Source organism: Homo sapiens, chromosome 12 (assembly GCF_000001405.40).
Source record: "Homo sapiens chromosome 12, GRCh38.p14 Primary Assembly".
NCBI lineage: Eukaryota > Metazoa > Chordata > Mammalia > Primates > Hominidae > Homo > Homo sapiens.
This window is the reverse complement of record NC_000012.12, coordinates 100,341,775-100,353,931: the sequence shown is the minus strand read 5'-3', so window position 1 is coordinate 100,353,931 and position 12,157 is coordinate 100,341,775.

The following is a 12,157-nucleotide window of genomic DNA, read 5'->3' as shown; positions in this document are numbered from 1 at the left end:
AAGAAACCAACCAGAAAATGAATGAGTCCATTACAGTGCAGTGAGTCCCACAAGAGAGGGCCGGGGGAGCACAAACAAGGACACCTACCTGAGCCTGCAGATGGGAGTGGGAGAGGGCTTCCTAGATGAGGGGAGGATAGTATAAACCTTCAGGGAGGAGAAAGACTGAGGCAAACAAAAGGAAAAAACGGGGGAACAAAGACATGCATGAGACAGCATGGCATTTGGGGAACCTTGCATAGCGTTAGAGAGTCAGGTAGGAATGCCCATGCAGCAGAAAACACGACTGGAATGATGATCTTGAACACTATGCAGTTCAGTTGTTGCAGAAGAGCACTGAAACATGTGCTTCCCTGGTCACAACAGCAAAGACATGGAATCAACCTGCGTGCCCATCAGTGATAGACTGGATAAAGAAAATGTGGTACATATACACTATGGAATACTATGCAGCCATAAAAAGAGCCACATCATGTTCTTTGCAGGGACTGGATGGAGAAGGAGGCCATTATCTTTAGCAAACTAACACAGGAACAGAAAACCAAATACCGCATGTTCTCACTTACAAGTGGGAGCTAAACCATGAGAACACATAGACACAAAGAGAAGAACAACACACACTGGGGCCTATCAGAGGCTGGAGGGTGGGAGGAGGGAGAGGATCAGGAAAAATAACTAGTGGATACTAGGCTTAATACCTGGGTGATGAAATAATCTGTACAACCAACCCCCCATGGCACAGTAACACACCTGCACGTGTACTCCTGAAGTTAAAAGTTAAAAAAATTAAAGGAAAAAAGCAATGACAATAATTCAACAAATAAGGATCTCAATAAAGACAAAACTTAAAAAAAAAAAAAAAACCATGTGCTCCCCATCTCAAAATCTCAAATATAGCAAAGATAGGAAATTATGTGCAGTGTGGAATTCTCTGTGGGGGGGTGTGAAACAAGAGCCTGGGTCTGTGCTGGGGATATATAGACTGTAGATACAGTAGAAAAAAAAACAGCCATTGATATATATTTAATGACTTCCCATTGTCCTGTACTAAAAATGCCTCTTCCCTTAGGGAAAATAATGTAACTAAGGCATCTTTAGGGGTGCTTTCCCAGATCATAGCAATTCTTCATTCTCAGAGAACTTCCAGGGTCCCCTGCCCCCTCCCTCTCATAGTGACAGGTCTCCAAAAGTCCTGTAGTTAACTATAATGTTTCTCATCCCCCTGAGCACTGTTGAATGGACCGGGGTAGACACCTGGACCAAGCTGAACCAGTCAGATGTGAGATTCTCCTACTCATTTATTTATTTAATTTATTTATTTATTTGAGACAGAGTCTCACTCTGTCACCAAGGCTGGAGTACAGTGGCACAATCTTGGCTCACTGCAACCTCCGCCTCCTGGGTTCAGGCAATTCTCCCACCTCAGCCTCCTGAGTAGCTGGGATTACAGGTGTGTGCCCTCACGCCCAGCTAATTTTTTTTTTTTTTTTTTTTTTTTTTAGTAGAAACAGGATTTCGCCATGTTGGCCAGGCTGGTCTTGAGCTCCCGACCTCAAGTGATCTGCCCGGCTCAGCCTCCTGAAGTTGGGATTACAGGCGTGAGCCACTGCACCCGACCCTCCTAGTAATTTAAATTTGGAATTACAAGACTGCTAGTTAATCTTGCAGGACTCTGGAATTATAACTATAAGGTGGTTACATTAACTTTGTGGTGTAGAGATGCAGAGAACACTGGTCTTGGAAAAGATTGAGAAATAAGACAATGAAACTATAACAGGGCGAGGGTATGGGGTGAGGATATTTCTCATGGCCTTCCAGGCCTCATCTTCCTAGACTCAGTTGTCCTTTTACCCTTGGGTTTCACAAAATACTCACATCCTTACAATAAATTGCCCAAGATAGTTTCTGCTCCTTACAAATAAAGAGTCTTGACTATTGCGATGATTTAAAACCCAAACCCTGTAACGCCAAGCATTTCTCTAGCTAACACCAGATTGGTGAGCCTGACTGCCCAGTTTGGTGATATGGAGGACTCCAGTCTGCAGCAACAAAACAAAGAGAGCTCATAGGCTGGTCCTGAGCCGGGTTGTTCTAATCTGCCACCTAGACAAAAAAAAAAAAAAAAAAAAAAAAAAAGGAAACCAGCAAATCCCAAACAAGCAACTCAAATAGTTACTACAGAAAATTATTTCATCAAATCCAACCAAAGTATTAGATGGAGAATTTTAACCAGGTAACCAGGATCAGAGGTAATGACCAAATGATTCACCCTTTCCATAAGAGACTTCATAAGGAAACAAAAGTAATGAAGAGAACTGGTCATCTTGGAGTTCTCCTAAATTCCTAAATTCTGTGGCAGCTTTTCCAGCCAACCCTATTCCTTATCCCAACTCCATACTCCTCCTTCTCACCCCCATAACATCCTGAGACAAACATAAAAATTTCTTTTATGCAAGACTTCTCTCAATCCTTTAAAATTTGTATATTGTTAACTATCAGTAGTATTAACCTATATACATATATATATCTCAATTTCTTTCATTGAACTCCCATATTTGATATTAATTCTTCTATTGATAGTCAAGCTTATATACAAAGCATTTTCAAATATCTCATTTGATTCTCACTATAAACTTATGAAACAAATAAGCAGATAAAGAAATAAAGATGCAAATTTTGCCCAAGGTAACCTGGCCAGCAGAATTCAGAGAGCTGGGACTAGGTCCTAAAGATCATTTCCTGAACTTGTACCACCATGGTACATGGTACACTGTGATCATATAATCTTACTCTGAGTAGTAAAGAGTGTCTTTGGTGTAACTCAGGAAAGATATACTCAGAATCTTTGAGCTTTTAGAAACATTATTGAGCACCTAACTATAGGTATGCTTGTCCTAGCTACCATGGAAATTTTTAGAATAAAGTATGAGTGGGACACAGTGGTGTGTACCTGTAGTCCCAGCTGCTACTCAGGAAGCTGAGAGGGGAAGATCTCTTGAGCCCAGGAGTTCAAGCACAGTCTGGGCAACATAGCAAGACTTCATCTCTAAAATAATAAAATAGGCTGCTGGTTTCTAGGGTTACATATTATCTATCTTTCATTAAAATGTTCCACTGGAAATTAGGGCAAATTGACAGCAGAGTGAAGAGAAATTAGTATCAAACACTGATATACTGGCCTCTGGATTAAGATTGCCACCATCCACCCCATTCTAGGTAAGACTCCCCTTCTAAGGGAAGGCTAGTGGGAACCTTTATCCCATTCTATTGTAATTGCTTCCGTATCATCTTTCTGACTTGAGTTTCATGATCACATTTTATTCTCACACAGTAGAATAAAAAAGTGTATATGACAAAGTAGAATGGCCAAATTGATATTATCCCCATTTTACATGTGAGCAAACTGAGGCTCACTCAATAACTTGTCCAAAATTACATAGTTATTGGTGGAGCCGAGATTTAAACCCACCTGATTACAAATGTCACTTTATTTTTACATGCTGCTTCCAGTCCATAATAAAACACTGTTAGTCCCATTAATTTCAGCTCACTGTAAGTCAGCTACTCAGTTAATTTGTAGTTCAATTAATTTGACTCTAGTTTCCTAAATTACAGGATTTTTACACTATATGTAAAAGACATCTCCATAATACTTTGCAAATATAAACATGCATACATGGAGACCCTGGAAACATATCAATTTCCATTTTCAGTCTGTCACTGTAACTGCCTAGATATTAGGTGTCATTCATTTTCTTCCCAAATACATTAAATGAAATTTGAAAAGAAATGGTCAGATAACCAAAATACAGAACTTTAGGGTGTTTTTATACAGCATGGAATCAATCATTCATTAAGTATTTCACACATGATAAATGTCAAGAATTTGCTTTGAACATGAATTCCTTATATTTATGAAGAACTTTTAACTTCATTTTCACTGCTCCTTTGAGCCTTATAACTACATATAGAAAGAACTATGTTGAGCCAACTACTCCACTTTATTGTTGAAGCCCAGGGCATGGAGAAGGCCAGTGATACTTTGAGGTATCAGGCAGAGATGCAACAAGAAGTCACACTCATGTGCTCATTTGCTTGCTGCCATTGCTTACCTATAACAAATTATTTCTCATTTCATCTTGGAGGGTATCTCTCCCCAAGGTAAGGTATCTCATATTGGGGTATCCCAACATAAGACACTCAATTATCAATTTTTTAGTCTGTTTTCTGGCTGTAAAGACAATAACATTATTATTATTATTTAAAACAGAGTCTTGCTCTGTCACCCAGGCTGGAGTGAGCGCTATCTCAGCTCACTGCAACCTCCACCTCCTTGGGTTCAAGCAATTCTCCTGCCCCCAGCTTCCCAGGTAGCTGGGATTACAGGTGTGTGCCACCAGGCCCAGCTAATTTTTGTATTTTTAGTGGAGATGAGGTTTCACCATGTTGGCCAGGCTGGTCTCAAACTCCTAACCTTAAGTGATCTGCCTGCCTCGGCCTCCCAAAGTGCTGGAATTACAGGCTTATTTTTTAAACATGTGTTATACTACCCATATGCTCCGAAATCTCCCCTTGCGAAGAAATGAGGAAAGCTGGATTCCTTTCATTTGGTATTACTGCAGTGTGGAAACACTAGATTTGCTTTATGCACTATGCATGGTGACTTGCAAAAAATACTCAGGGATATACTAGAAAATCTGATAATCTGTTAAATACAGTTGTATTGTAATAATGCAAACTGAAATGTTGAAAGATCAAAACCAGAGATAATATTTTGAAGGATTTTTTTACCACCTTCATTTTTCTTGAAGGTGCAGATAGAACCCTGCGTGTCCAGATAATTTTAACACATAGAGCAGTGAACAAGGATGATATTTGGGGGGTTAAGGGTCACGGCAGAACAAACCCACACACCGTTCACAAGTATTTCTCATGATCCCATCCTTTTGTAGATGCTACACCAAAAGGCAGATATTCTTCCCATTATCTTCCCTAGCCTATTCATGTTAAAAAAAATCACCTGTAAAGGGGCTAATGTAATGGATGATTACTTGGGAGATAGTGACATCTTCTGGTAGTTTACAGACTAAATATATTTATGGCAGACATTTCCCCCACAACCCCAAAATCCAGCCACGGTTTTAAAAGATTTATTCTATATACATTAAGCCCCCAAGTGTGGATTCTTAAATGTATGAAATATTCAATAAAATATAAACCAGCTAAAAAATAACATTATAGCTCACTTATTCTGCTCCTTGCCTTGCTGTCATCCCTGGCTCTAATAGAAATGTTTTAATCAGCTAATATTTTTTTCTTTTTGGTATTTCTCCACATGTTCTAATTTAGGCAGCTAGCATTAATTCTGCTTTTCTTAGTCATGAAAAATTGACCAGATTTCCCTTATTTGAGAAGTTTTCATAAAATCTCAGAATTCAAAAGGACTTTGGCAGTTACCTGCTCTAATCCGCTCCCTAGTAGTTCAAACTTAATTTGAGAAAATGTGACCAAAGTAATCATTTGGTAGCATAAAAAAACAAAACAAAACAAACAAACAAAACACAGAAAAACAAAAAACAAAAAAACAGTAAAAAACTTTACAAAAGCTCTGTGCAGCTGAGCTCGGGCCCTGTCTCCTTTAAGCCTTCCCGACTATCTAGATTGCGTGTCCCTCCTACATGGATTTTGCTCATAGTGTGTATCACACTGTTCTGCACCTGTCTGCTTACTCAACTACCTTTATAACTACAGTGCAAACCCCCTGAGGGCAAGGCCTATATCTCATTTCTATTTGTGTCCCAAGAATCTCACAGTGCCAAGCGTATAGTATTTTATAGCTTAGTTTTATTTATGTATTTATTGAAAAATAAGTGCATTCAAATGGTGCCAGATGGTTTTTTTTGTTTGTTTTGCGACAGTCTCATTCTGTTGCCCAGGCTGGAGGGAGTGCAGTGGTGCGATTTCAGCTCACTGCAACCTCCGCCTCTCGGGTTCAAGCGATTCTCATGCCTCAGCCTCCCAAGTAGCTGGGGTTAGAGACGTGCACCAACACGCCCAGCTAATGTTTGTATTTTTAGTAGAGATGGGGTTTCACCATGTTGGCCAGGCTGGTATCAATCTCCTGACCTTTAGTGATCCATCCACCTCGGCCTCCCAAAGTGCTGGGATTACAGGCATAAGCCACATCGCCCAGCCAGGTGAAGTATTTGTTTTTCATTAAAGCAGAGTTTATTTTAGAGATCTATATCATCACAAAGTGAGTGGAAAAATCTATTGAGCACCTACTATGTGCCAGGAGCTGTGCTAGGTGCTTTGCACACTTTGCACACTAATCCTAATAGGCCTGTAAGGTGTGATCTTATTTCGTAGCTGAGAAAACTTATTCTGGTCAGTTAAGTGAAAGAGACAAGATTTACACTCATTCAGTCCGTGTAACTGTTTATACTCTACCTGATTCCAAAAGAGGATTTCTATGAACATAGATAAAAAACTTATTTTAAAAGGAAATCAGAGCAAATGAGAAATAAGGATTTTTTAAAAATCAGATAAAGCCAGAAGGTACGCATTGAATATTGCATACTATTATTATCCTATACATTTGCTACAGGTAAACAGCACATTTGGCTGAATCTCTTAGCTGTATTACCTAATCTGTTACTTTATGCGGACTTTAAAAGGTAGAAGCAGGCCAGGCGCGGTGGCTCACGCCACCCAGCACTTTGGGAGGCCAAGGCGGGTGGATCACCTGAGGTCAGGAGTTCGAGGCCAGCCTGGCCAACATGGCAAAACCCTGTCTCTACTAAAAATACAAAAAAAAAAAAAAAAAAAAAATCAGCCAGGCGTGGTGGCTGGTGCCTGTAAACCCAGTTACTTGGGAGGCTGAGGTACAAGAATCGCTTGGTCCCAGGAGGTGGTGGTTGCAATGAGCCGAGATCATGCCACTGCACTCCAGCCTGGACAACAGAGTGAGATTCATTCTCAAAAAAAAAAAAAAAAAGGAAGGGCAAACCACTTGCTTAGAAGCACATTGACTCCTGAACTGAAACCTGAAACCTCTCCAGTGGGTCCTCAAAGAAGCTATTTATGTGGGAGTGAACCAATGTCATCCCTGGCGTAAATACAAGTTCACAGCATAGTCAAAAGCTACCAGTGATAAAAGAAACCTGATGCATGGAGAAAACAAGGCAACCCAGGCACAAAGGTCTCAAGAGTGGGCTTAATTCAGAATTTCTAGAGAAAATGAATGGATTACTCAATTTTTGGCCTCCTCAATAAACATCTCTCAAAAACGAGATTTTGCCCATTGGGCAATAGAGAGTTAAATGTTGCTCTCTGACAAGTGGCTGGAGTACAGGTACCATTGCTGATTGAGGGCAGATTCACATAACCACTGTAGCTGGAGACAGACGTGACAACCTCTTATAAAATGTGAGCAGTCTAATGAGGACACCCACCTCAGTGAAAAGCCTTTCCATCTCTTTACAGATACAATCTTAAGAGTGCCAAATGTTAGAGACAAGATTTTCTTAAAAACAATTTTGGGGCCGGGCACAGCGGCTCACTCTTGTAATCCCAGCACTTTGGGAGGTCAAAGTGGGTGGATCGCTTGAGCTCAGGAGCTCGAGACCAGCCTGGGCAACATGGTGAAACCTTGTCTTTACCAAAAAAAAAAAAATTAAATTAAATTTTAAAAAATACAGAAATTAGCTGGGTGTGGTGGTGCATGCCTGTAGCCCCAGCTACTCAGGAGGCTTGGGGTGGGAGGATTGCTTGAGCCTGGAAGGTGGAGGTTGCAGTGAGCCAAGATCATGCCACTGCACTTCAGCCTGGGTGACAGAGCCAGACCCTGTCTTAGACAAAAAAAAAAAAAAAAAAAAAAAAAATTGGATCTGTTACAACACGCAAATGTGTAAAGTACCCTGCCCCACGTCTATAAAGTGTGAGTACTACAATTTTAGCCTGAAATTTTTTTAATAAAAGCACCTTTTTCTGGCTCCAAACTTCATACACCATATGCTTCTAGTGTGACCATGGATATGCCTCACATTTGAGTTTTGACTGATCATTATGTTCAAAAAGACTGGTAGGCTGAGGGGCATAGACTTGGGGCAAATCTATGTTTATTCCTACAATCAAACTACAGACATTAACGTCTCTATCTCATTTACCTTTATATAAAAGTCAAACACTGCCTTTACTAGCAACCAAGGTCACCACACAAAGGAACATATCCAAAACACAGGAGGAAAAAAGACAAAAATTGGAACTGCATCCAGTAGGTATAATTAAAGTAGCCAAACTGTATTTCTACTGTGGGAACTTTCAAAAGAACTTCCATAAAGTTTTAATATAGGATAGGTAAACACAATTCCAATGGCTTTTGATAGCAGTATATATTTATGGCCCCATTTTAAAATGACTTATTATTGGATTCAGGCTCTATCAGTGAGGGTAAGTAAGGAGACAGAAACCCCACACCAGATACTTGAACAGGGAAGTTTTAATATAATATTTGCTAACTAGTAGAAGCTGGTAAATTATTTGTAGGGGCAAAAGAGGACTCTAAGGGGCACAGAAGTAGCAGGTAAAAGGCAAATACTGCCTCTAGGCTGAAGAAAAGTGAAAAAAAAAAAAAAATGAACTAAAGACCAGGAGAGGCTCTCTTCCCCTACTCCACTCCCAAGCTGAGATCAGACTTCTCTGGAGAGGGTGTGGTTTCTACAGGAACATTCAGCCTGCCATGGTGAAGAAACTTGTCCGAGGGAATGGGCCACAGAATGGAAGACAGTTGCTTGATGGAGTGGCAGAGCTGGCATGGAAGCAGCCCATGGGAGCTGCTCCACAGTGGCTCAGGGTTGGGAGAAGGTAACCTGAGGTGCAGCTGGAGCTCCTCTGTTTGGACTGCTGGGCTTCTATGGTGGATAATAATGGGAGACCCACAACCATAAGTAAAGTATCTTCTTGCAGCTCTTGCTTTGCAGTGCCACTCTGGGGCCCTCATTTTTCCAGCTGGCAAAGGAAAAAAACAGTACAAGGCAAGGCAAAGGATGGGTTTGGAACTGAAACCATAAGTTGATAAATGCCATCATTCACTCCTTTAGTCACCGAGCTTCCATATACATCCACATTGTCTTATTTATTTTTTAGATGGAGTCTCACTGTCACTCAGGCTGGAGTGCAGTGGCACAATCTCGGCTCACTGCAACCTCCGCCTCCTGGGTTCAAACGATTCTCCGGCCTCAGCCTCCCAAGTAGCTGGGATTACAGGCGCCCCACACCTGGCTAATTTTTGGTATTTTTAGTAGAGACAGAATTTCACCATGTTGGCCAGGCTAGTCTCAAACTCCCGACTTCGGGAGCCGCTGTGGCTCAGGCCGGTTGCCGTGGCACTCGGGGAGGCGAGGCTACACGTTCGAGGCCAACCTGGTCAACATTGATTCAAACTCCCGACCTCAGGTGATCCACCCGCCTCAGCCTCCCAAAGTGCTGGGATTATAGGCATGAGCCACTGAGCCCAGACTATATCCACATTATCTAATGCAGCAGCTACTAGCCACGTGGCTCCTAAGTACCCGAAATATGACTAGTCTGAAGTTAAATGTGCTAAGTGTAAAATACACACTGCATCTCAAAGACTAAGTACCCAAAAAGATGTAAAATGTGAGTTTTTTATATCAATTCCATGCAGAAATATTTTAATTTTTTTTTTCTTAGATAGGGTCTCACTCTGTCACCCAGGCTGGAATGCAGTGGTGCGTTATCGGCTCACTGCAACCTCTGGGCTCAAGTGATCTTCCCACCTCAACCTCCCAAGTAGCTGGAACTACAGGCATATGCCACCATACTCAGCTAATTTTGTGTATTTTTTGTAGAGACGGGGTTTTACCGTGTTGCCCAAGCTGGTCTTGAACTCCTGGATTCAAGCTATCCACCCACCTTGGCCTCCCAAAGTGCTGGGATTACAGGCATGAGCCACCATACCTGGCAATATTAAAATATAATAAAATCAATTTCAGGGCCTGGAGCAGTGGCTCATGCCTGTAATCTCAGCACTTTGGGAGACTGACGTGGGCGGAGCATTTGAGGTCATGACTTCGAGACCAGCCTGGCCAACATGGTGAAACCCTGTCTCCACTAAAATTACCAAAATTAGCTGGGAGTGGTGGCGGATGCCTGTAGTCCCAGTTAGTTAGGAGGCTGAGGCAGAAGAATCTCTTCAACCTGGGAGGTAGAGGCTGCAGTGAGCCGAGATCGCTGCAGTGAACTGAGATCACAGCACTGCACTTCAGCCTGGGCGACAGAAGGAGACTGGTCTCAAAGGAAAAAAAAAATCAATTTCACCTATTTTTAATGGGATTACTAGAAAATTTTAAGTTACATATGTGGTTTTTACCCCTGGTAGTTAAATCCTTTCTGAGTGGCTGGAGCAACTTTGCTTCTTTGGACAGAAAAAGTTTCTAAACTTCAACAAGTTCCATCTTGGTGAAATGGCTTTTTCTTTTCTTTTTTTTTTTTAATTATACTTTAAGTTCTAGGGTACGTGTGCACAACGTGCAGGTTTGTTACATATGTATACATGTGCCATATTGGCATGCTGCACCCATTAACTCGTCATTTACATTAGGTATATCTCCTAATGCTTTCCCTCCCCCGCCCCCACAACAGGCCCCGGTGTGTGATATTCCCCCTCCTGTGCCCAAGTGTTCTCATTGTTCAATTCCTATGAGTGAGAACATGCAGTGTTTGGTTTTTTGTTCTTGTGATAGTTTGCTGAGAATGATGGTTTCCAGCTTCATCCATGTCCCTACAAAGGACATGAACTCATCCTTTGTTATGGCTGCATAGTAGTCCATGGTGTATATGTGCCACATTTTCTTAATCCAATCTATCATTGATGGACATTTGGGTTGGTTCCAAGTCTTTGCTATTGTGAATAGTGCTGCAATAAGTCTATGTGTGCATGTGTCTTTATAGCAGCATGATTTATAATCCTTTGGGTATATACCCAGTAATGGGATGAGTGGGTCAAATGGTATTTCTAGTTCTAGATCCTTCAGGAATTGCCACACTGTCTTCCACAATGGTTGAACTAGTTTACGGTCCCACCAACAGTGTATAAGTGTTCCTATTTCTCCACATCCTCTCCAGCACCTGTTGTTTCCTGACTTTTTAATGATCGCCATTCTAACTACTGCACTCCCTTCTCCCCAAGTCTAAAAGCTTTAATTACGCTATATGTCTGGGTACTATAAACACTGCTAACCCAGATGCCCCAACTCTCCTCACTCATATTTCAAACCAGCAGCCAGAGGCTGATTTTGACTATGTACATTTCTGTCATCTCAACTCTCCCCTCATAGCCATTTTTTCTCAATGTAAACATATTTATGATACCCAATAAGTACTGAACACCTACTTGCTACATGTCTGTCTTAACAGAAGCACTTCCAGAAGAATTCATACAGTAACAGATGCAAGGTGGTAGAGAGCAGATTAGGAAAAAATCTAGCTTCTATTCCAGGCGCTGATTTTTTCGGGTTAAGCCATGCAAGCCTCAGGCCCTCTGTTTCTACCTCTGCTGGGAGAGATAGGGCTGAATTACTTTATTTTTTTTTTTTTTTGAGACAGAGTCTTGCTCTGTCGTCCAGGCTGTAGTGCAGTGGCGTGATCTTGACTCACTGCAACCTCTGCCGCCCAGGTTCAAGCGATTCTCCTGCCTCAGCCTCCCGAGTAGCTGGGATTACAGGTGCATACCATCACGCTCGGCTAATTTTTGTATTTTTAGTAGAGACGGAGTTTCCCCATGTTGGCCAGGATGGTCTCGATCTCTTGACCTTGTGATCTGCCTGCCTCGGCCTCCCAAAGTGCTGGGATAACAGGCGTGAGCCACTGCGCCTGGCCTACTTAGTTTTATTCAAACTAAGTCATGAAATCCTTTAGCAATTGTAACCAACTTTTTAATTAATAGAATAAAAAGAGTACACTACACCTATTAAAGACGTTTTCTGAAACTTTTGTTTCAGGTAAATATTTTATATAGCAGTTGTAGGGTAAAATGTCTTTCTTATTGAGTGTCACAGTTAAGAGTTTGAAAGCCACTGATGTAGATAATCTCTCAAAATCCTATATAGTTTGAATTCTTACAGATTCATTTGTT